Genomic DNA, 25,911 nt, shown 5'->3' with positions numbered 1-25,911 from the left:
AGGATTAAGGGGGGTTGGCTTTTCCAGGGAACAAAAGGATCCCACCAGGGAGAGGACTGTTCTGGGAAGTGCCCTGGTCCCCTGTGGCCAGGCTTGATTTGCTCTCTCTTTGGAAGCCACCTTGGCACGCAGGCACTGGTGGAAAATTTTGGAGTACCTGCTGGAGGTTGAAGATGTGAGCACGAAGAAACCATGGTCTTGTCTCGGGAGCCTCCCAGACTTTCCCCTTTACGGCTGGTGAGAACGTGAAATGGTTCACTTGCTGCAGAAGACAGTCTGGCAGGTCCCCAAAAGGTTAAGCACGGAGCTACCGTAGGGCCCAGCCATGCCACTCCTGGGTTTGTGCCTAAGAGGTGAAAAACACACATCCACACAAAAACTTATAGGAATGTTCATAGCAACATTATCCACAATTGCCAAAAAGTGGAAACAGCCCAAATGCCTGTCTGCTGATGAACACATAAACAAAACAAGTAACACATCAACAAAACGTAGCACCTCTGTAGGATAGCATACGATTCAGCCTTAAAAAGGAATGGAGTTCTGATACATGTGACAACGTGGACGAATACTGAAAACATGCCCAGTGAAAAAAGCCAGACCACAAAGGCCACGTTTCGATCGCTTGAGCCCAGGAGTTCGAGACCAGCCTGGGCAACATGTCAAAATCCTGTCAACTCAAAAATTAGCCAGGCATGGTGGCATGCACCTGTGGTCCCAGCCCCTCGGGAGGCTGAGGCGGGAGGATCACCTGAGCCCAGGAGGTGGAGGTTGCAGTGAGCTGAGATTGCCTGGGTGACAGAGCAATCTCTGTCTCAAAACAAAACAAAACAAAAACCCAAATGCCACGTTTTATATGATTCCATTTCTAGGAACTCTAGAACTACAGGCAAATCCATACACACAAAGTAGATTAGTGATGGCCAGGGCTGGGGAAACTGAAGGGAAATGGGAGGTGACCGCCGATGGGTATGGATGGGGTTTCCTTTCGGGGTGATGAAAATGTTCTCGAATGGGCTATGGTGATGGTTGCACAACTCTGTGTGCGAAACCTCCCTGAATTATAAACTATAAACGAGAGAATTACACAGTATATGAATTCTCTCTATATAAAGCTGTTATGAAAAGCGAACCTACCAGACCAACATTAACAATTAGAGTATATTGTAGTACAAGACAGTTGTAGATTGGCAAGATAAGATTGGACATAGAGATTTTGTAGATTGTGGAGCGGAGAGGGATGAGGTGGACGGTGCTGTTACAGCCTCTTAGGAGGGACAGAGATCCTGAGGTGATCACCGAGCTTCAGGATCTTGTTCATAATTTTGAGATTAAGAATCTTGGTTTGGAATCCCATGCCTGTCATCCCAGCACTTCGGGAGGCCAAGGTGGGCAGATCGCTTGAGCTCAGGAGTTCAAGACCAGCCTGGTTCACATGGTGAAATCCTGTCGCTGCAAAATGCAAAAACTAGATGGGAATGGTGGCACGTGCCTGTAGTCCCAACTACTCTGGAGGCTGAGGTGGGAGGGTCGCTTGAGCCTGGGAAGTTGAGGCTACAGTGAGCTGAGATCATGCTGCTGCACTCCAGCCTGGGCAGCACAGCAAGACCCTATCTAAAACAAAGACAAAAACAAACCAGAATCTTCATTTCCATCAGTCTTCAGAACTGTGTGAGTTTAGGAGTTGTGATTCATGCTGACCATGAGACCGATGTATAAAGCAGGTGCCAGTGTATTAAGTTACTTTGGGGAATATGATGTACTTTTCCAGTGGCTGGAATATTAATATCTACTTCCCAAGGCAGTTCCTCCATGAGATCAAGGTATCTGTGAGGCCTCATTAATAGTAACAAGTTAGCCGGGCATGGTGGCACATACCTGTAGTCTCAGCTACTGGGGAGGTTGAGGCAGGAGCATTGCTTGAGCTCACACTGCTGCACACCAGCCTGGGTGACAGAGTGAGACTCTGTCGCAAAAAAACAAAAAAAAAGAAGAAGAAAGGAAGAAAGAAACGAAAGAAAGGGAGAAAGAGAGGGAGAGAGCGAGAGAGACAGAAACAAAGAGAAACAAAGAAAAGAGAAAGAAGGAAGGAAGGAAGAGAGAGAGAGAAAGAAAGAAAATAAATAGTAACAGGATTGCTTCAGGACTGTAGTATCCGAGCAAATAGTAACAGGATTGCTTCAGGACTGTAGTATCCGAGCAAATAGTAACAGGATTGCTTCAGGACTGTAGTATCTGAGCAAAGGATCTGATTTGATCCAGCACATCCCACGAGGGACTGAGTGTTTATGCCCACAGACTCAGTGCCCTCCCTGAACTGTGCAGAGTAAACTCTGCCAAACTCTTAGCTGTTGTTGTTCTTCTTTTTTTTTTTTTTTTTTTTATCTTTTTGAGATGGAATCTCGCTCTGTTGCCCAGGCTGGAGTGCAGCAATGTGATCATAGCTCACTACAGCATCCACCTCTTGGGTTCAAACAATTCTCATGTCTCGGCCTCCCAAGAAGCTGGGATTACAGGCATGTGCCACCACATGTGGCTAATTTTTTGTATTTTTAATAGAGACAGGGTTTTGCTGTGTTGGCCAGGCTGGTCTCGAACTCCTGGTCTCAACCAGTCTGCCTGCCTCAGCCTCCCAAAGTGCTGGGATGACAGACGTGAGCCACCGTGCCCGGCCTTCCTTGTTCTTAAAGAAGGAGATGTTACAGAACAAACGAATCTCCATACAAAACAAAACCTCACCATAAAAGAGGAAACTCCCTGCTTCATGAGGGGTGCAGGTAAATGTAGAAACGCTCACCAAGAAAGCCAGAGTGGATTTCACATTAATAGAATGCAGGTAAAAGACATAACTTGTTGGGATGTAGGGCGCAGTATCAGAATGGAATAGGGTTCAGGTGAGCTCCTAGGATGGCAGGATTTGAAGAAGGAGCAGCACCTTGATTAGGGGAGAATGAAGAAGCTTTGGAGGGCTGGGCGTGGTGGCTCACGCCTGTAATTCCAGCACTCTGGGAGGCCTAGGTGGGCGGATCACCTGAGGTCAGGGGTTTGAGATCAGCTTGGGAAACATGGTGAAACCCCATCTCTACTAAAAATACAAAAATTAGCCGGGCGTGGTGGCGCATGCCTGTAATTCCAGCTACTAGAGAGGCTGAGGCAGGAGGATCGTTTGAACCCAGGAGGCAGAGGTTGCAGTGAGCCAAGATCATGCCATTGCACTTCAGCCTGGGTGACAGAGTAAGACCCTGTCTTAAAAAAATTAATAAAAATAAAAAACACAGTCCAATTTTTTTGAGCTAATTATGGAAGTATTAATGGATAAAATCTACATTTTGTACTGGTGCTGAGAGTGAGCTGTCCCCTAAGTAGATTATGTTTCATGATTCTGTGTCAACTTTCTCTGGGCTGATGGGCCCTCTTTGGACACTGACGTCTCCTCACGTCCATGATCCCTCCTGGGTCCGTGCCAGCTGCGCGTGTCATCAGAGCGGAGCGTGCGCTTGTCCTTCATCACAGGCCTGGGTGATGTGTGGCTGACATGCGTCACATGGGATAGGCTCTCCGATCTCAGGGCTCGGGCTGCCACCCCTGCCACGTAGTACATGGCATGTGGCTGATTCTCCACTTGCTTGCAATGGACCCTCTGTGGAAGGCACCGGAGAGGCGGTTTCCCTGTCTCTTCTCCTCCTGTGTTGCCCTCCTCCCCCTCGATAGATGTGACCTCCCTTCCAGCTTTGTGCCAGTGTCTGGCAGCACTTGATTTTTTTTCTCCTTGTCCTTCATCTGTTTTCATTGCGTCGCCACCTTCCCCACCCCCAAGCAGCATCCTTCTGCCCCTTGGTGCTCTCCGCGCGGCCGTCTGCCTACCTGTGAGTACGCTGACCAGGGCTGGTTGACTGCCTACACATTAGCGGAGTCTTTCTCATTTTTTAGGGCACAGTAGATACTCAGCGAGTGTTGTTTTTTTTTTAATAATTATGCAATAAATGAATGGATGTCCGCACACCACCCTGAACACCAGCACCCACTGGTCATCCCTGGACACGCATGGGTGGAAGGACCACACTGGTTGTCCCTGGAAGAGTAGCTCACTCTCGAGCCTGCACCGATGTCATCTGAGTCAAAACACAGACGTCTGGGCCCCACCCTAGAGAGTCTGGCTCAGCGGGTCCAGGGTGGGGCAAGAATGTGCATTCCTGCAAGTTCCCAGGTGATACTGAGGCGGCTGCTGGGGGGATACCATTTCAAGAAGCACTGCTTGGAGGCAACGCAGACCTCTCCCTCTTCGACGAGGTCCTGTTCACTTCCATGTAACCAGTCAGGGTTGGAATCCCACATGGAGTTCCCCTCCTTTGGTGACCCTCTGCTGCAGCTCTTGGGAGCCTCCCCTTTAGATGAGTTCCTCCCTGCTCTGACCAGGAGTTGCTTTTTCTATACCACCTCAGCTGATGGTGTTCACACACACATTCATTTAACACACATTTACGGAGGGCTCCTGGGGGCTGGGTGCACACACTTGGTGCGGCTCTCTTTTGGAACCTGGTGCCTTCTCTCTCTCCTTCATTTTTGAGGCAGAGTCTTGCTCTGTCGCCCAGGCTGGAGTGCAGTGGTGCGATCTCGGCTCATGGCAATCTCTGCGTCCCAGGCTTAAGTGATTCTTCCACCTCAGCTTCCCAAGTAGCTGGGATTATAGGTATGCGCCACCATGCCCCGCTAATTTTTGTATTTTTAGTAGAGACAGGGTTTGGCCATGTTGGCCAGGCTGGTCTCGAACTCCTGACCTCAAGCGATCTGCCCACCTTGACCTCCCAAAGTGCTGGGATTACAGGCGTGAGCCACTGCGTCCAGCTTCCAGTGTCCTCCCTTTCAGCCTCTGGGTGTTGCCAGCCAGTGCCACCACTCAGCACTGTTTATACCTAAGGCACCAATGGGTAAATGGAGAGACAGGCGTCTGAAGACTTTTAAAAATGTGTACTTTATTTGGCTGTAGCTAAACCAGTTAGAAGGCCGGGAGTTGAAGTTGATATGAGTATCATAAATGCGCAAGTTAAGTAGTTACTTAAGAAGTCACAGGAATATGGGTCGTTCCTTGTTGGGTTTCTGATAACTAGCAGGCGGCTCAGTTTGGCTATGTTAATAACAGAAACACAGAGATTGCCACTGATTCTATCACATTTCCTGTTTGTTTGTTTTTGTTTTTGTTTTTGAGACAGTCTCACTCTGTCATCCAGGCTGGAGTGCAGTGGTGCAATCATGGCTCACTGAAGCCTCGACCACCCAGGCTCAAGTGATCCTTCCACCTCAGCCTCCTGAGTAGCTGGAGCTAGAGGTGTGCACCACCTAATTTTTAAACTTTCTGAATTTTTTGTAGAGATGGGGTCTCACTGTGTTGTCCAGTCTGGTTTCAATCTCCTGGCCTCAAGCAATACCCCCACCTTGGCCTCCCAGAGTGTTGAGATTACAGGTGTGAGCCACCGTGCCCAGCCAACATTTCATTTTTTAAAAAATGCTTTATTGAGGCTGGGCCCGGTGGCTCAGGCCTGTAAACCCAGCACTTTGGGAGGCTGAGGCAGGCAGATCACTTGAGGTCAGGAGTTCGAGACCAGCCTGGCCAACATGGTAAAACCCTGTCTCTACTAAAAATATAAAAATTAGCTGGGCGTGGTGGTGGGTGCCTGTAATCCCAGCTACTTGGGAGGCTGAGGCAGGAGAATCACTTGAACCCAGGAGGCGGAGGTTGCTGTGAGCCGAGATTGTGCCACTGCATTCCAGCCTGGGTGACAGGGTGAGACCCTGTGTCAAAAACAAAAACAAAACAAAACAAACAAAAGAAAGCTTTATTGAGATGTAATTCACCTGTCACCCAGCCTGGGTGACAGGGTGAGACCCTGTGTCAAAAAGAAAAACACAAAACAAACAAAAGAAAGCTTTATTGAGATGTAATTCACATGTCACACAATTCAGCAGTTTAAGTGTACAGTTCCTATACTTTGACATCCATCACTACAGACAATTTGGGGACGTTTTCTTCACTCGACAGAGAAGCCCGGCACACCCGAGCTGCCACCCCCAGTGCTCCCAGCCCCTGGCAGCCCCTAAGCTGCTTTCTGTCTCTTTGCATTTGCCTGTTCTGGACATTTCATAAAAATGGAATCACATCATATGTGGCCCTTCATGACTGGCTTCTCTCACTGAGCCTAATGTTTTCTGGGTTCACCCATGGTGTAGCATGTATTAGTGCTTTCTTCCTTTTCATGGCTGAATAATATTCCATTGCGTTTTGTTTATCTTTGTTGATTATCCATTCCTCAGTTGATGGATATTTGGGTTGTTTCACTTTTTGACTATGATGAATAGTGTTTCTATGAATGTTGGCAGACACGTTTTCCTGTGGACATATGTTTTCATTTCTCTTGGGTATGTACCTAGGAGTGGAATTGCTGGGTCATATGGTAACTCTGTTTAACTTTTTGAGGAATGTCTGGAGTTTGTTTTAAAGTGGCTATGCCATTTTCTCTTCCCACCAGAGTGTGTGCGGGCCCTGATTTCCCCACGTCTCCATAAACACTTGCTGCTGTTCGTCTTTTTTATTATAGCCACACTAGTGGAAAGACACTTTTGTATCCCACACAAACAGAAAACTTATGTATAGGTGATTTTTCTAAAAAAAAGACTTTATGTTTTGATAAAATAAGCATGTTATATTGGTTAAGATGGTTTTTGTTGTGAGTTAACGAAAACCTAACTAAAATTACCTAAAACAAACAAACAAAAAAACGCATTTACTATCTCATGTAACAAGAAGTATGGCAGTTCCAGGGTTGATTAATTCAGAGGTGTGATGACATTTCCAGGACCCCAGGTGCTTTTCATCTTTGCTCTCTGCTGTCTTTGCCACGTGGGAGATGTCTTCCCTTGTGGCACAAAGTGGCTGCAGCCATTCCGAATGACACAGTGATATCTAGTAAAGAAGAGGGGCTTTTCCAATCCTGCATGTCTTATTTTACTGGCATGGAAACTAAGCAGACATCTCTCAGCTCCCTTTGGCCAAGGCGGGGCCATGTGCCACATCCTCCTTAGTTACTGGAAAGGGGAGGGAAGCCCCATTGGGGTGAACTTACCCTGCTCCAGCTACTTACTGCGGGTGGGCTGTGTGTGCGCATGCATGGTGTGTGTGCGTGTGCGTCCATGCGTGGGTGTGCATGTGTGTGCGTGCATGCGTGGGTGTGCATATATGTGTGCATGCATGCATGGGTGTGCATGGGTGTGCATATATGTGTGCGTGCATGCGTGGGTGTGCCTGCATGTGTGTGTGCGTGCTTGCATGGGTGTGCCTGTGTGCATGCATGCATGTGTGTGTGTGCGTGTGTGCATCTCCTTCCTAAGCAGGTAGAAGGGAGATACCCCAAGCAGAATCAGGCTTCTGCTGGTAAGGAAGGTAGGTGTGTGGGAACGGGGAGGACATGAAGAAAGAAAATGATTCTTAGGGATGCAATGCATTAGTGGCTGTGACTTTAGTTAAAACATAGAATTTTGTTTGTTTTTTTTCTTTTGAGACAGGGTCCTGTTCTGTTGCCCTGGCTGGTGTGCAGTGGCAATAGTGGCTCACTGTAGCCTTGATCTCCTGGGCTCTAGCCATCCTCCTGCCTCAGCCTCTTGAGTATCTGGGAATACAGTCGTGTACCACCATGCCTGGCTAATTTTCAATTTTTTTTTTGTAGAGACAGGGTCTCGCTATGTTGCCGAGGCTGGTCTTTAACTCCTGGTGTCAAGTGACACTCTTGCCTCAGTCTCCCAAAGTGCTGGGATTACAGGTGTGAGCCACTGCCCAACCTTCATGCAGCATTTTAAAAAATGAAAATGTAGCTGCTTGTTCTAGGAGAAACTTGTGAAATTGGATCATTTAACCAACTCTGCCTGTGCGTGACTTGCCTTCAGTTCTCCAGCTTGGCCTCAATCCCTTTTTCTTGCTGCTTGGAACCCACATCACCACCAGTGACCTCACAAGGCAGTGCCCCTCCGCACCCCTCCCTTCTCCAAGACTCCCCCGCCGCCCCCTTTCTTGCTCTTACCCACACGCCACTGCAGACACAGCGCCCTCCTCCCCTGCTGCCCCCCTCTTGCTCTTACCCACACGCCCCTGCAGACACAGCACCCTCCCCCCACCCACCGTTACACCCTCTCTTGCTTTTACCCACACGCCCCTGCAGACACAGCGCCCTCCTCCCCTCCTGCACCCTGGGGGCTCCCCGCATGTGCTGTGATGTTGAACATGTGGGTGTCAGGATGAAAGGAAGAAATCTAGATTTGATGTGGTGGGAGGTAAAAGCACTCTCGAAGGCTTTCGAGCTGGGCTATGACTGTCAGGATGAATGTGGTTTTAATATGTGGAAGAGATTTATTTCTTTAATAGTCACCTGTTAAGAGTCTTAGATATCACTGATGTGTCTTGTTAAGAAACCTTATAACAAACGTATTTCTTAAACTTACATCTGGAGCTCTGCAAAGCATTAGCTGTTCTGCAGGAATGACAGAGGGTCTCCTGTGCGGCCAGCTCCTCTGGAGTCAGGGAGCCATGGAGCCACTGCTGGTTCTGAGGATGGTGACAGCAGGAGGTGGAGATGGCTTCATGATCTGCTGTGAGCAACGTGCAACCTTCTCCCTGCTGTTAAGTGACTAGAATTCCCAGGTGCCGCCTGCTGATTAGTTCCAGTTTGTGTTCCACGAGAGCAGATGTGTGTGAGGTGCAGGGAATGCCCCGCTGCGGGAGATGGTTTTCTCCTGCCACCGTCCCTCCCCAGGCCACACCATCCACACACATGAGCACGCTCGTCTTCCTTTCTCATAAAGCACAGACCTAGAAATATTTCTCGGTTTAAAAATAGTGTTTTCCCTACCTCGAGTCAAGGTTCAGTTCTCATCTCTCTAATTTTAGTTCCTTGTTTTTATGAACTTTGAAATGTTTTCCTTAACCAGAAAACAGAAAAAAGCAATCCCAGAGACAAGGGAAATTTCTTGCTCCATTTCCCTGTAGTAAAGGCATTTCTATGTGAGATTTTCTTTTTATCCTGAGCAGGTTATCAGAAACCAAAATTTTGAATTAGGAGTTTAAAGAAGAGGCAAGGGGGAAAAAGTGCTCTCTACGGGACCTTGGTTGCCATGTGGAATGTTTTTGGAGCATAAAATTGATATTTTTACAAAAAAAAAAAAACGAAAAAAATGTTTCTGGTAGAGGCCTGGAGAACGCCGTCATGATTCTGAAGGTGTATATATTTTTTATTGTTTCTGTCAAACTAATTTTATATAAGACATTAATGGAAAGGTCAAAACACATAATTCTCTGAAGCCTATTAGAAAAATTTCTTCCGTTGGGCTGGGAACGGTGGGTCATGCCTGAAATCCCAGCACTTTGGGAGGTTGAGGCGGGAGGATCACTCTTGAGGCCAAGAGTTTGAGACTAGCCTGGCCAACGTGGCAAAACCCCATTTCTATCAAAAAATGTATATATATATACAAAAATTAATCGGGTGTGGTGGCGCACGCCTGTAGTCTCAGCTACTCGGGAGGCTAAGGCAGGAGAATCACTTGAGCCTGGGAGATGGAGGTTGCAGTGAACCAAGAGCATGCCACTGCACTAGAGCCTGGGCAACAGAGCAAGACTGTCTCAAAAAAAAAGTAAAGAAAAGAAAAATTACCTCTGTTAACTTCTTTAAATTCTTAGGTACAGGTGGTAATTTTTTTCTTTGTTAAAATTGATGTTGGTCATTTTGTGTTTGAGTTTTCTGTTGCTATTTCATGGGGATTTTCCTGTGCATCTACATAATATAGTATTTCTTTGAATTAATATGCCATAGTTTAATCATTTCCTGTTTGAGCTTTTTAGATTGCTTGAAGGTTTTTCTTTCCTTTGTAAATACTGCAGCTTTAAGGAATGTGTGACTTTTGAAGCTCTCTGTTTTGGCAGATGGCAAAGGGGGTGACCATCTTATTTTTATTAATTTTTTATTATAAAAGTAAAACATGTTTTTGGTGTTTTAGAAAAGACAGATAAGCAAAAAGAAGATTAAAAAAACATTTACCAACTAGAGATAGCCATTTTGAATGTTTCAACATGAGGTTTTTAGACTTTTTCAGTGCATATACGATATATATCAAATATTTATTCAAAATCAAATATATATCAATGCATATAAATATATATAGATATAATGGTGTCATATGAAACACCATTAACACCATTAAACACCATTAACACCATTAAACACCATTAACACCATTAAACACCATTCATGGATCATGAATACCTTTCCACTTAAATCTGTATGTACATCTTTGTTTATTTTATTTTATTTTATTTTTTTGAGACAGAGTCTTGCTCTGTCATCCAGGCTGAAGTGCAGGGGCATGATCTCGGCTCACTGCAACCTCTGCCTCCCGGGTTCAAGAGATTCTCCTGCCTCAGACTCCCCAGTAGCTGGGACTACAGGCGTCCGCCACCACACCCAGCTAATTTTTGTATTTTTAGTAGAGACGGGGTTTCAACATGTTGGCCAGGATGGTCTCCAACTCCTGACCTCAGGTGATCCACCCACCTTGGCCTCCCAAAGTGCTGGGATTACATGCGTGAGCCACCATGCCTGGCCAAGTCTGTACATACATCTGTATCATCATTTTAAATGACTTAGATTTTATTCTGGGGATGTACTATAATTTATTCAGGAAATATCTCTTGTTGGAAATGTAGATTGTTTCCAGCTTTGAATCATTGTATATCACAATATGAAACTGTTAATAATCCAGCCATCCCTCACATCAGGATGCATTGTATAATTTAATGGTATGTCATAGTTTAATTGGCAGCACTTTGCATTATATTTTAATAGAACAAAAAGTAATGAAACATCATCATTGGCATCTTAGACTCGATGAAATATAATATTGTCAATTATAACAGTGTGATGAATATCCTTATTTGCCGTTGTCTTTGCCCACGATAATTAGTAGTGGGGCCAAATCTCTTTTTCATATGTGTGTTGCCCTTTTGTATTTCTTCATGAGTTGCTTGTGAATTGGTTGTCTTTTCCTTACTGATTTGTGAAAGTTCTTTATTTATGTAAGTATCTTAAATCTTTGTCTTCCATATATGTTGTAAAATGCCTCCCATTTTCTAATTTGTCTTTCAATCGTGATATTTCTTGATATGTGGAAATTTAAAATCTTTATGTTGGTCTTATCTATCAATCATTGTTTATGGTTTCTACCTTTAGTATCATGGTTAGAAAAGCCTTCCCCACCTGAGGACTATGTAAAATATTAACCTATATTTTCTTCTAATACTTTTATGTTTTTGTTTTCTTTTTTTTTTTTCTTTTTTTGAGACAGGGTCTCACTCTAGGCAGGCTGGAGTGCAGTGGCGTGATCTCACTGCAGCTTTGACCTCCTAGGCTTAGGTGATCTTCCCACCTCAGCCTCCCAAGTAGCTGGGACTACAGGTGTACACCACCACACCTGGCTAATTTTTAAGTATTTTGTAGAGATGGAGGTCTCATTATATTGCCCAGTCTGGTCTCAAACTTCTGAGTTCAAGCAATCCTCCCACCTTGGCCTCCCAAAGTGTTGGGATAACAAGCATGAACCATTGTGCCTGGACTGGATATACCACCATTTTAAAAAATCAGTTTATCAGTTGATGAATATTTGAGTTGCTTGCAGTTCTTGGCTATTATGAATAGAGTTGCTGTGAACATTCACAAGTCTTCCGTGGATGTATATTTTTATTTGTTTCGGTTAAATGCATAGGAGTGGAGTGACTGGGTTGTATGATGAGTGTGTTTAACTTTATAAGAAACTATGAAGCTGAACATGTTATTTTTCTTTGTAACTGGACACTTAATTGAATGCTTATTGTGTCTGAATTTTTTTTTTTTTTCTGAAGCAGAGTCTCACTTTATTGCCCAGGCTGGAGTGCAGTGGCACCATCTTGGCTCACTACCACCTCTGCCTCCTGGGTTCAAGCAATTCTGCCGAAGACTCCCAAGTACTAGGATTACAGGTGTGCACCACCACGCCTGGCTAATTTCTTTTGTATTTTTAGTAGAGATGGCGTTTTGCCATGCTGGCCAGGCTGGTCTCAAACTCCTGACCTCAAGTAATCCACCCACCTCAGCCTTCCAAAGTGTTGGGATTACAGGTGTGAGTCACCGCGCCTGGCCTGTGTCTGATTTTTAAAAATCAGATAGCCTTAGATTTTTCTTGGCAGAAAATCATATAAATTTAAAATCCCCTCCTTTTCAGTTTTTATATCTCATTTTAAAAAATTGGACTGAAAGGTAAAGGCCAAAAATATGCCTATTCTCTGCTTAGGAGTTACAGTAACTTTTGATGTGTGTGTGTGCATATACCTGTGTGCGTGTGTGTGGGTGTTTTCCCGCTGTAAGAAAAGAAGGCATGATGTAATGTGCAGGAAATAATCATAATAAAGAGAATGCTGGCGTACTTCTTGAGTGCTCATTGTTGCTAAATTGGTCATTTACTCCTAAAGGACGTTGGGGAAGGGTGTGTTTGATCTCTCTACAGCCAGAAAGACCACCTGAAAACCCTCCTGGGCCTCGTGAATCTGCTCATCTCTCCAGATGTCACAGGAAGTGTCCTCGGGGGGGGACAAGGCTGTGCTGTTCCATGCAGGCATGGTCTCAGGCTGTTCCCAATTGTGAGTGAGTTTTGAACAAAACTGTAACTTCCCTGTATAGGGCTTACAGTTGGCCTCATCTTACACCCTGTAGTCCAGTGAGTCCGCATGCTAGCTGTGGAAAGCGTGTACAGAAAGGAGGCTGATTCTTTTTTTTTTTTTTTGAGACGAAGTCTCAACCTTGTCCCCCAGGCTGGAATGCAATGGCGTGATCTCGGCTCACTGCAACGTCCACCTCTGAGGTTCAAGCGATTCTCCTTCTTCAGCCCCCTGAGTAGCTGGGATTACAGGTGCCTGCCACCATGCCCGGCTAATTTTTGTATTTTTAGTAGAGACGGGGTTTCACCATGTTGGCCAAGCTGGTCTCGGACTCCTCACCTCAGGTGATCCTCCTCCCTTGGCCTCCCAAAGTGCTGGGATTACAGGCGTGAGCCACCGCCCCCAGCCAGGAGGCTGATTCTTAATTATTGATGCACTGCAGCCTGGGCAACAGAGCAAGACCTTGTCTAAAAAAAAAATTATTGATGCCATTTGGTTCTCTTTGAAACTAATTAATGGCTCCTTAATTTGTCAGTGCGTCTATCTTCTAGCGATCACAGATGCTGTTTGGGTGCTCTTGTCAGTTTTTGGTAACCATTTCTGGTATTTTCTTTTCAAATCCCCAGCCTCACTTTGTGCTGGTTATCACAAGATCCACTTAGACCTTAGAGGTGAGAGCTTGGGAATATTTCATCTGCAAGAAAAATCATTCGTCTGTCTTTGTGTGGGACGAGTTAGGTTATGTAAGCTGATGGAACACGAAACAGAAAACTGGAGCCTTTTTCTTTGGGCACACAAAAATGCAAAAATCTAAATCTCTTATTTTGTTGAATTTTTAAGTGGAAGGAGTTGTAGATTTGCCACCATCAGTCCTGGAGCTGACTTGAATTTTTCTTTTAGGCTCTTGTTAGCTTTTCTAACAGAGATGTCACAGATTAGCAACTAGGCATAAACCTGAGAAATTGGGCACTAATTTTGTTTTGCATTTTTGTTTTGTAAGACGGGGGTCTTGCTGTGTTGCACAGGCTGCAGTACAGTGGCTGTTCACAGGTGTGATGGTAGCGCACTGCAGCCTCGAACTCGTGGGCTCAAGTGATCCTCCCACCTCAGCCTCCCAAGTAGCTGGGACCACAGGCATGTGCTACGCCACCCAGCTGTTATTTTGCATTTGCTCTGTCATCACGTTGTGCTTTTGTGCCTGCCTTTTCTCCTCATTAACTAGATATCTGTCACTTAAAGAAATAACAGCGATGCATTTCAGGATAATAGAACCCCTATGAACTCTTCCAGACTTAAAATTTATCTGTTTCTCCAAAAAACACTGCCTGCATTTTTCCCAAATAAGCCAGATACTCTCAGCCAGGTATCTGTGCAGGTTGGACCCCTGCCCACCTTACAAGATCCAGTAGCATCTCCGTTGGAAAGCTTTTCCTGAGCCCTCCCGCCTGGCCCCCCCGCTGCCCCAGCCGCCATTCCTTGCCAGGTCTCTTTTTACCTCCTTTTGCGTTAATGGGTCTTTGGAGTTGTGTCTCCCCTTCACTGAGCTCTCCAGGACACATTTTGCAACATTTTTGTGTCCCTGGTGTATGGTGTTTAGCAGACGCTCAGTATTTACATGTTGACAGATTGCACACATGGGACCGGGTACATTTCTTGCCAGTACATCCAGTTTTCCCTTACCTCTTCTGCTGTAAATTAATGTTCCTCTGGGGTTTAAAAAATTAATTTAGTGGTTAATTTAGTAAGAGATTAAAATTAGGCACTGGCCAGGCACGGTGGCTCATGCCTGTAATCCCAGCACTTTGGGAGGCTGATGTGGACAGATCACCAGAGGTCAGGAGTTCGAGACTAGCCTGGCCAACATGGCAAAACCCCATCTCTACTAAAAATACAAAAATTATCTGGGCGTGGTGGCACATGCCTGTAATCCCAGCTACTTGGGAGGCTGGGACAGGAGAATTGCTTGAACCCGGGAGGCGGAGGTTGCAGTGAGCCAAGATGGTGCCACTGCACTCCATATATATATAGTAACAGGTCTCACCTTGTCACCCAGGCTGGAGTGGAGTGGCATGATCACAGCTCACTGTAGCCTCAGCTTCCTGGGCTGAAGTGATCCTCCTACCTCAGCTTCCTGAGTAGCTGGGACTACAGGCATGCACCACCATAGCTGGCTAATTTTTCTATTTTTTTGTGGAGACGGGGTCTCACCATGTTGCCCAGGCTGGCCTTGAACTCCTGGGCTCAAGCGATCCTCCTGCCTCAGCCTCTCAAAAGTATTGGGATTACAGGTGTGAGCCACTATACCCGGCCATAAAGTAGTACTTAAAAGTGTAACAACTTTCAATAAATCTTTGTGAGATTCAGAACAACCTTTTGAATTGTCTATGTAAAGAAATACCGAACTGCTTTTTTTTCCCCTCGATCACTTTTTAACCTTCCACTTTGTAGACAATTTGCTAGTGTGTTTTCTATTTTTTTTTTTTTTTGCCACTGGGTATTGCCCTGTCATCCAGACTGGGGTACAATGGCATGATCGTAGCTCACTGAAGCCTCGACCTCCTGGGCTCAAGCGACCCACCCGCCTCTGTCGCCCAAGTAGCTGGGAATATAGGCGTACACCACCATGCCCGGCTAATTGTTTTTTTAATTTAAATTTTGTTTTTTTTTTTTTGCGGAGGCAGATCCTCACTATGTTGCCCAGCGTGGTCTTGAACTCCTGGCCTCAAGTGCTCCTCCCACCTCTACCTCCCAAAGTGCTGGGATTACAGGCATGAGCCACTGTGCCCAGCCAGATTTTTGTCATGATTCTATTTTTATCTCTTCTATCGATTTATTTCTTATATATTTTTTCTCACTTATTTTAAGTCATTGCCCGAAATTTACAAAGTACATTTTTTATCAGTCTGCCTCCAAATATTATACCATTTATTATATAAGAACCTCGTAAGAATTCTTCATAACTGTAAGTTACTACAAGGTTCTATGAGAACCTTGTAAATGTTTATGATGCTAATAGTGTCATAATAATGTATTTTATATATATTATAAACCTCATAACATGTTATTTTTACAGAAAATTACCTTTTAGAGCAATGCTGTTTGATGAAACTTCCTGCAATGATGGAAATGTTTTATATCTAGACTATACAATATGGTAGCTACTATCCATGTGTGACCATTGAGTACCTGAAAACAACTGAATTTTAAATAAACTAGTTTAATTTAAGTAATTTAAATTTAAGCGGCTGCCATATAGACAGTGTAGTTTTAGAACAATGGAAGATTTTCAAAATACTTTTGAAAATTATTTTGAAAATCTTTCTTCTTTTTAGGCCACTTCAGGAACTCTTCGTTTCTTTGTGTAGATCTATAGGTTTCTGTCTCATCTCCCGACTGAAAAACTTCCTTTAACATTTTTTATGCTACAGGTCTTCTGGGAATAAATGATCTCAGCCTTTGTCTGTCTGAAAAAGTTTTTATTTCCCTCCCATTAGAAAATGTTTTTAGGCCGGGCACAATGGCTCATGCCTGTTATTCCCAGCACTTTGGGAAGCCGAGGTAGGTGGATCACCTGCAGTCAGGAGTTCAAGACCAGCCTGGCCAACATGGCAAAACCCTGTCTCTACTAAAAATACAAAAATTAGCTGGATATGGTGGTGAGAGCCTGTCATCCCAGCTACTTGGGAGGCTGAGGCAGGAGAGTCATTTGAACCCAGGAGGTGGAGGTTGCAGTGAGCTGAGATCGCGCCATTGCATTCCAGTCTGGGCAACTGAGTGAGACTTTTGTCTCAAAAAAAAAAAAAAGTTTTTAAAGAGGGCTGGGTGCGGTGACTCATGCTTGTAATTCCAGCACTTTGGGAGGCTGAGGAGAGTTGATCACTTGAGGCCAGGAGTTGGAGACCTGCCTGGCTGACAAGGCGAAACCCCGTCTCTACCAAAAATTAGCTGGGCATGGTGGCGCATGCCTGTAGTTCCAGCTACTTGGGAGGCCGAGGCAGGAGAATTACTTGAACCCAGGAGGCGGAGGTTGCAGAGAGCTGAGATCACGTCACTGCATTCCAGCCTGGGCAATAGAGTGAGACTCTTTCTGAAAAAAAAGAAAATGTTTAAAGAAAAATTTCATACCAAGGAGATCCAAGAGACACTCATTTTTAAGAGTCGGTTTTTTCTTTTTTTTGGTTTTGTTTGTTTCTTTTTTTTTTTTTTTTCTTTTAGGATATGAAGGTTTGTGTTGAAAAATTTTTTTTGCAACTTATTCTTTTAGTACTTTAAAGATATCACACCACTGCCTTCTGGCTTTTGTTGTTTTGGTGAGAAGTCTGCTATAATTCTTTTCTTTGTTCCTCTGAATGTAATATGTTTCCCAATTCCCACTGTCACCCCGGCAGCTTTTAAGATTTTCTCTTTATTTTTAGTTTTCGACAATTTGGACATGATGTTGTTTTGGTATTTCTCTTTTTTGGAGTCCTCTAAACTTCTTGGATCTGTGCTTTGATGTCTTTTATTATGTTTAAAAAATTATTGGCCATTATCTCTTCAAATATTTCCTTCTATCCTTTCTTTCTTCTTCAAGCATTTTCTTTTTTCTTAGAAACATTTAATAGGGGCTTATGCACAGAAGCTATGTCTGTTCTCAAGCTTCTGTTCATTAGTCTGTGAACTGGGGCTGCAGCGAGAAGAGACAGTGGATCCCTGCACCATTATCCCCTGGTCCCAGGGCTTGTATACCGTAGGGAAGGGGTGATTCAGAGGGATGTGTAGGTCAGTGTGAGTACAATAACATCAAAGTTGTTTGACCTAAGGTCAGGCTTTATGGTAAGTTCTTGGTCTTACACGAGGAACAGCGCATAAGCTGGAAATCTCAGAGGGTTTCCTGGAACTGGGGTTAATCAGAAGCCACATGGCGGAGTAGCATCCACGATGGAGCTACTTCAGCCTCCACAGTCCACTCTTGTAATCCAGCTCTTGTAATCTCACATGCCCTCTTCTTCCTTCATGGTCCCTGAGCCTTTAAGGAGGGTGCTTGATACTGTATAGCTTTAGCAGCAGTGCCTTGGTCATGGAAAACAGATCGGGCCCAGTGGGATTCCAAACAAGGGAGATTCACAGGCTTTTAAATCGTCTTCAGTCTTCAGAATGCAGTGGCTTTGGTTCTGTCAGAATAGGCAAAACAATGTGAGATATATAACATCGATCACTCGGATAGTAGAATTCTGTGCACACAGAGATTGCAATAGAAAGAGAATCGCCTGTAATCCCAGCTACTCAGGAGGCTGAGGCGCGAGAATCGCTTGAACCCGGGAGGTGGAGGTTGCAGGGAGCCGAGACCGCACCACCGCACTCCCGCCTGGATGACAGTGAGACTCTGTCTCAAAAACCAAACAAAAAAACCCAGAATTCGTGGGCCAGAACAACAATGAAAAAAGAACGTATTCTGTTAAGAAGCCAACTAAAATGCATCATGATGAAAATTAAAACTCGGTTCTTCTTTAGAGACTTGTTGCAGCCAGGAAATGGTTCAGGATTAGCCCAAATTGTAGGCAGATAATAAAAACTCACAAACAATGGTTAAGGCTAGAATCTAAATTTTTCTTTCTCCAGTTTCCCCATTTCTACCAGGGATAAATTATATATATAATAGTAAGACCAATTTATTTGCAAAACAAATTTTAGTTGCTTTATACTTGGCCTGAAGATTTGCATCAAATGTAGCAAGAATTGTGATCCACCATACGGACCCTTTTTAAGTTGGCTTTGCAGGAACCTTTATAAGGAATTTTGGATTTGACTTTTTAAAAGCCTCAATGCCAGATATTGATCTGTTTTCAACTTTTTTGATTTTTTTTTTTTTTTTTTTTTTTTTTTTTTTTGGAGACTGAGTTTCGCTTTTGTTGCCCAGGCTGGAGTGCAAGTAGCACCATCTCTGCTCACTGCAACCTCCGCTTCCCGGGTTCAATTGATTCTCCCGCCTCAGCCTCCCGAGTAGCTAGGATTACAGACATGGATCACCATGGCTGGCTGATTTTTGTATTTTTAGGAGAGATGGGATATTACCATATTGGCCAGGCTGGCCTCGAACTCCTGGCCTCAAGTGATCTGCCCACCTGGGCCTCCCAAAGTGCCGGGATTACAGGTGTGAGCCACCACGCCTGGCTACTACTTGGTTACTTTGTAACCCCGCCTCTTTGATGGGTCAAGAAAAGTTGTGGTTATATTATTTATCTTGGTTTTTATTATTATTATTATTTTATTTTTTGAGACGGAGACTCTCTCTGTTGCCAAGACTGGAGTGCAGTGGTCTGATCATGGCTCACTGAAGCCTTGACCTTCTGGGCTCAAAGTAATCCTCCCATCTCAGACTCCTGAGTAGCTAGGACTACATGCATGCATCATCACACCCAGCTCATTTTTATGTATTTTTGTGTGTAGATGGGGTCTTATGTTACTCAGGCTGGTCTGGAACTCCTGGGGTCAAGTAGTCCTCCTGCCTCGGCCTCCCAAAGTGATAGGATTACAGGTGTGAGCCACTGCACTTCGCTTTTTTCTTTTTAAAGAGAAAGGATCTCTCTATGTTGCCCAGGCTGGACTTGAACTCCTGGACTCAAGCGATCCTCCTGCCTTGGTCTTCGAAAGCACTGGGATTACAGGTGTGAGCCACCAGGCCCAGCCAGTTTTAATTTCTGTTAGGTGGAATGACATTCCAGGTTTCTAAAAATAACTTCTACTTGGTTATTTTTCAAAAGTTTTGTTGAGTTCAGTAATTATATAAGGTTTATAACATAATATTATTTGAAACTTTCATCCACATCCTATTCTTTACTGGTAGAGAAAAGCCACATATAAGAAATACATGTGTGTTTGTCTTTTATAAATATATGTTACCCAGTTTTCCAGTTACTAGCTGCAAGTTTTTTTTCCAGGTCATAATTTGGAGAAAAATATATGCGTGAAAATTATAACGATAAAGCTTATTTTCTATACAACAAACAGTGAGTGATATGGAAATGTATGTCCTTACTAGTAATTTTAAAAGTACAAAAGAGAATGCCTTAAAAGTACACACACACACACACACACACACATACACACACATACATATTTTTTTGAGACAGAGTCTCACTCTGTTGCCGAGGCTGGAGTGCAGTAGCGCAATCTTAACTCACTGCAACCTTTGCCTCCCGGGTTCAAGCAATTCTTGTGCCTCACCCTCCTGAGTGGCTGGGATTACAGGCATGTGCCACCACGCCTGGCTAATTTTTTTGTACTTTTAGTAGAGACAGGGTTTCACCATCTTGGGCAGACTGGTCTCAAACTCCTGCCCTCAAGTGATCCACCTGCCTCAGCCTCCCAAAGTGCTGGGATTACAAGTGTGAGCCACCATGCCTGGCCGCATTATATACTTTTTAAGGCAGAGAAAATTTTCTAAAACTTGATGGGTGGCCTGTTGTTGCTGGTTCACTTCTTCTAAAGAACAGAAGTAAGAACTGTAACACTGTCCGAATCCTGGGAGAGTCGCCTTAGAAGATGGTCCTGTAGATACAAGAGAATAATTTACTCAATGATACGAATATAATTGAGAATAGCAAAAATTGAACAGCAGCCAAATTGGTGATGAGTGAGGTAACTCTGGTAAGTCACCCTGATAGAATATATTCCATTTATTCATTGTTCATAGAATATATTCTATTTATTCGTTGTTCTTCCAACCTTTGTTGAAGCCCCACTCTGTCAGACTCGGCACCAAGTGTCTGAGATGCCTTCGCTCATTACATCTTCACGGCTCCCCCGAGAAGTAGATGTTACTTTCATTATCTGCATTTTACAACCAAGGAACCGGGATATTAAATTACTTCTCTAGGTCATGCAGCTAGTGTGCGGTGGGCTAAATGTACAATCCCCCTAATAATAATAATAATAATAATAATAATAACTTACAACAACAGCATATTGAAATAAGAAAAAAAATTTGAAAAATCTCTTTGATTCGTAAAGATGAAAAAATTGATTCTAGTTGTTGGTGGTGAGAGGAAAGGGAACGCAGGCCCTCTGAAACACTGTTGGTGGGACTACGAATTGCAGAAACCTTTTTGAGGACATTTTGCATATCTTCAGAATTTCACATGTCATGCCATTTGACCAAGTCCTTTCACTTTTAGGGATTTACCCTATGGCAATATTTGCACAAGTACAAAAATGTATGTATGAGAATCTTGGTTACTGTCTTTCTTGTAATAGCAGAAAGTGGGAAATCACTTGAACATCTATTAGGTGGAAATTATGGTCTGTCCTTATGGTGGAATAGTTGTAACCATTTGTAAGAATGAGATAGATCTGCGTGTACCCATATGTGCAAAAGAGCCACCGTGAATTGTTTTTTTTTTTTTTTGAGATGGAGTCTCGCTTTGTCACTCATGCTGGAGTGCAGTGGCTCGATCTTGGCTCACTGCAAGCTCCGCCTCCTGGGTTCACACCATTCTCCTGCCTCAGCCTCCTGAGTAGCTGGGACTACAGGCGCCCGCCACCATGCCCAGCTAATTTTTTTTTGTATTTTTAGTAGAGACGGGGTTTCACCGTGTTAGCCAGGATGGTCTCGATCTCCTGACCTCATGATCCGCTCATCTAGGCCTCCCAAAGTGCCGGGATTACAGGTGTGAGCCACCGTGCCCGGCCATGAACTGTGAATTGAAAAAAGCAAGCAACTGTACCATATGTAAAACATGATCTCATTTTCCATAAAATAGCGTGTTTAATAATGTGGGTCTAGAGAGATAATAATACATGCATTGAAGGATATATACAAATTTATATATAGCGCGTGTTCTTTACAGTGGGATTAGAGGAACTTGTACTAATATTTTTTTTGCTTTGTTTTTTTTTTGCAACAGATATGATTTTATTATTAGAAAAACCAGATTTAAAAAAAGCCATTATATGAGTTTTCCTAGTTGGCAAAAATTCATTATATGAGTTATCCTAGTTGGCAAAAAAGGCACTTAAGTGAGGAAAGGAGATGCAAAATCATCCTTGACTGTAAAGGGGTGCAGGTGGGATATGAGCTTGTCTGGGTATGAGAATATCATGTTCTATGCATTTTTTATTTCCTAAACTGCTTAAATTATAAATCATTAATGGTAATTATTAAAAGACTTTGTTTTCCCTACAATTAGAAAAACTTATTTGAAGACCTCAAATCCCAAAAGTGAAAGAGGAAAAAAAAAATTATTGCCACGGTTTTTCCCTTAACCCATTTAATTAAAGAATTAATTAAATTCTATGTTGCAGTTTTTCACCAAAAGTGCAACATAGAGTTAGTTCAGTCACCACAAAAAGATTCAGAGATTGGATTTTGCTGACTTAGTGAAGCTACTAAGATACAAATTCACAAAGTAAATGTTTGCACACATTAGCTACAGTGGCAAAGTGTTTGGGAGGTTGCAGTCCACCTCCCGGTGAGGGAGATCCATCCTTTTGGTCAGCAAATGCCCTGAATTGACCCTCTCCCGAGGGTCAGCTGCAGGCTGTGCTGATCTCGGAACTTCTCTGGGGGTCCAGTTCTGTTTAGGACAGACCATAAAATACATCTCTCTGGGGTGGGTAGAGCTACCCCAGTACTTACCCTGGAAATGGACTCAGCTGTCCCTGGAGGGTGACTCAGTTGAGGCAGAATTGTCTTAATTTGGTAACTCTCCTAATTTGAAGCAGAAGTCCTGGGTTTGACCCAGACCCATCTTGGTCTGGAGTGGAGTTGTGGTGTGTCTAATGCTGCCAGATCATGTTCACTGTTAGAAGCCTGGGGAAGGGAAGGAACTTGCTCAGCCAACTCAGAAGCAGGCATAGCGCAAGAGGGAGGATTTTAAGAATTAGTATTTTACTATCCTTGTGAGCTGGTGTTATTGACAAACATTATTTCAATCTGTTTAACGATTTTAAGAATTAGTATTTTACTACCCTTGTGAGCTGGTGTTGTTTCTAAATATTATTTCAATCTGTTTAACAATTCCATTTTTTAAAAACCCTGCACTTTGGGCAGGAGTTCGTATTTCTAATTTAGGATGAATTTTTTCTCATCTCCCCCCATTCTGTGATTCTAATTTTTTTTAAGTTATTTCAGTTCTTAAAACTCTTTCATAGAGCTGGGCATCAGCCGCAATTTTCTCTAAATCTGTCTCAGATGAGCACTTGCAGTCTAATTGTATAAAAGATCAGGAAATTTAGTATTGAAGTTGCACTTGCTTTGATGTAATGATGAATGTTTCCTTCATCTGAAGAGCATTTGAAATTTATGGAAAAGTAAATCTTTTTGAATTATATGTAAATGAAAACGTTGGGATGAACCAGGTTATGTTTAACTGGGCAGTTTTGAAATTCTAATAGCTCCTACAAGCGGGAATCTTTTAAAGCTAATTTTGTGATATGAATTGTTTATTATTCTAAAGAATAATATTCACTTTTTTTTCATGGATCTCATGTAAATGTTACTGGACAATATGACCCATCTCTTTAAAAAGTGAAATTGTTAGTGGGAAGCTGTGGCTCACACTTATAATTCCAGCACTTTGGGAGGCTGAGGCGGGAGGATCACCTGAGCCCAGGCATTTGAGACCAGCCTGGGCAACAGCGAGACCTCATTTCTACAAATAATAAAAACATTAGCTGGGTGTGGTGACATGCATCTTTGGTCCAAGCTACTCTGGAGGCTGAGGTAGGAGGATTGTTTGAACCTGAGAGGTGGAGCCTGCAGTGAGCCCTGATCGTGCCCCTGCACTCCAGCCTGGGCAACAGAGTGAGACCTCCATCTCTAAATAAATAGGTAAAGGTAAAATCACTGCTCAGTCACTAGAGAGAGGAGAGAGAAAAGTAAATATACTCAAGGAGTGGGAAAAGCTTTGAAGTGGCATATCAAAATGAGAAAAATAAGTGTTTTTTAGAGAGAAAAGATTTGTGGAGAATTATATATTAGAACTATTTAAGACTTCTTAAAACTTCACGATTATATGGTTTTGTAAGGTTTTTGGGGATTTTCATAATGAGATGTAGATGGAACGTCCCCATTGCCCATCATAGACTATTCAGGCAAGTTCATACCCATTCCTAGAATGGAGAACCGTCTCCTCTGCGGTGAAGAAGCGCCCCTGTTCCTTAAGAGGCAGCAGCAGGAGGTGGAAAACAACATCCCGCTTGCTAAAGTCATGGGCCTTAGTCCAGGCGCGGAGGCTCACGCCTGTAATCCCAGCACTTTGGGAGGCCAAGGCGGGCAGATCACCTGAGGTCAGGAGTTCGAGACCAGCCTGGCCAACATGGTGAGACCCAGTCTCTACTAAAAATACAAAACTGAGCCGGGTGTGGCAGTGGGCGCCTGTAATCCCAGGACTTTGGGAGGCCGAGGCGGGCAGATCACCTGAGGTCAGGAGTTCGAGATCAGCCTGGCCAACATGGCGAAACCCCGCCTCTACTAAAAATACAAAAATTAGCCAGGTGTGGTGGCTCATGCCTGTAATCCCAGCTGTTCGGGAGGCTGAGGCAGAATTGCTTAAATCCGGGAGGTGGAGGTTGCAGTGAGCCAAAATAGCGCCATTGCCCTGCAGCCTGGGTGACAGAGTGAGACTCCGTCTCAATAAATAAATAAATACATAAAAATAAAGCCATGGGCCTCGATGGGAGGCTGTACATTGACGTGCGACATTCGACTTCTGCCATTATTTCAGATTTCGCACCTGCCCTTCTGGCAACATGGTGTTGCTGTGAGGATCTTGAGAGGAGATGAATGATGCTTTCCAAGTAGTAAGTATTATTCCATTAGGGAAAATAGGAATAAAATTGGAAAGCATCAAGTATTTGAAAGGAAACGAAAACAGGGCTTACTTTCCCTTTCGGCCAGCGTTAGAAGGGTGCAGTTTGGAATTGAAAGTGAAAGGAGCATGCACGTGTTCGGGGCAGGTTGCGGGGAGAGTGAAGATCATTTTAAAGACCCTGGTGCTTTGATCTTAGAGCACCACTCATTTGTACTCAGTTCAGATCTAAGTGAATTACTGTGCAAACGACATGACGAGAGAGGGGCATTTTCCAATAGTAGCTTCTGGTCTGGCACATGAGCCAGTTAGAGATTGACACACGCAGTCATGTAGCTGCTATAAATTGAAGCCTGGTGATGGACGTACTACAGGCATGGCTGCAGCGAATGCCTATGACCTTTCACTTCTCCTCCCTCTGTCACTCTGTGTATTCGCTCTCTCCATTTTCCTCCCTCACCTATTCACCAGCCATGAATCAGGAGTGGACTGGGCAAGGATCAGCCTGTAGGGAAATGATGTGGGCCGAGGGTAAAGAGTGAGGAATAATTAAGGCAGCCCTTGAATTAGTTGTACATTTTTTTCTTTTGTGTAGTCTTCTTTTTTTTTTGTAAGCAAACAAAAACCACGTTGCTGGCCAAATGTAGTGGCTCATGCCTGTGATCCCAGCACTTTGGGAGGTCCAGGTGGGAGGATTGCTTGAGTCCAGGAGTTTGAGACCAGCCTGGGCAACATGGTGAGACCCTGTCTCTATAAACAAATAAATTAAAAAAATTAGCTGGGCATAGTGGTACCCACCTGGAGTCCCAGCTAATGGGGAGACTGAGGTGGGAGGATTGCTTGAGCCCAGGAAACTGAGGCTGCAGTGAGCTCTGATTGTGCCATTGTACTCCAGCCCGAGTGACAGAGTGAGACCCTGTCTCTCAAAAACAAAAAACAACACTTTATTATGGATGATTTCAAACATAAACAAAAGTGAAGAGAGTAGTATAATCAACTCTCAGGTACACGTTACCCAGCTTCAGTTACCCACTCATAACCTTTCTTGTTAATTTCTACAAAAAGCTTGCTGGGTCTTGTTGAATCTGTTGATCAATTTGGGAAGAAATGCCATCTTAACAATACTGAGTCCTTCAATCCAAGAACCTGGTATCTCCTTACATTTATTTAGATATTATTTAATGTATCAACAAAGTTTTGTAATTTTAACTTACTAATTTTGATGCTATTACAAATGGAATTATTTCTTAATTTTGTTTTTGGATTGTTCATTGCTGGTATACACAAAACAGTTGATTTCCTGATATTGATTTTGTATCTTATGAACATGTTAAACTTGCTTATTAGTTCTAGTAGTTTTTTGTAGACTCCTGAAGATTTTCTATATATAGAGCTAGT

General features: G+C 43.7%; 1 protein-coding gene across 3 annotated transcripts in view, besides 2 other annotated features; it reads left to right on the top strand.

The window, feature by feature from the left end:
• Positions 1-25,911, top strand: part of ADCY9 (adenylate cyclase 9) — a 163,056-nt gene that overhangs the window by 26,516 nt on the left and 110,629 nt on the right. The gene's annotated exons all lie outside the window — the stretch shown is intronic.
• Positions 3,778-4,501: an enhancer, noted in NCBI's record as "H3K27ac-H3K4me1 hESC enhancer chr16:4135427-4136150 (GRCh37/hg19 assembly coordinates)". NCBI's record gives its function as "activates a minimal SCP1, AML or CMV promoter by ChIP-STARR-seq in primed H9 embryonic stem cells {active_cell/tissue: H9 hESC(primed)}" and the evidence as "EXISTENCE:reporter gene assay evidence [ECO:0000049][PMID:30033119]".
• Positions 4,045-4,339: a silencer, noted in NCBI's record as "tiled region #1446; K562 Repressive non-DNase unmatched - State 21:Repr". NCBI's record gives its function as "represses a minimal TATA promoter and a strong SV40 promoter by Sharpr-MPRA in K562 cells {active_cell/tissue: K562}" and the evidence as "EXISTENCE:reporter gene assay evidence [ECO:0000049][PMID:27701403]".

The sequence above is a fragment of the Homo sapiens genome, chromosome 16 (assembly GCF_000001405.40).
Source record: "Homo sapiens chromosome 16, GRCh38.p14 Primary Assembly".
Classification (NCBI taxonomy): Eukaryota; Metazoa; Chordata; class Mammalia; order Primates; family Hominidae; genus Homo; species Homo sapiens.
The sequence above is the reverse complement of the archived record's forward strand: the minus strand, read 5'-3'. Positions and strand labels throughout refer to the sequence as shown.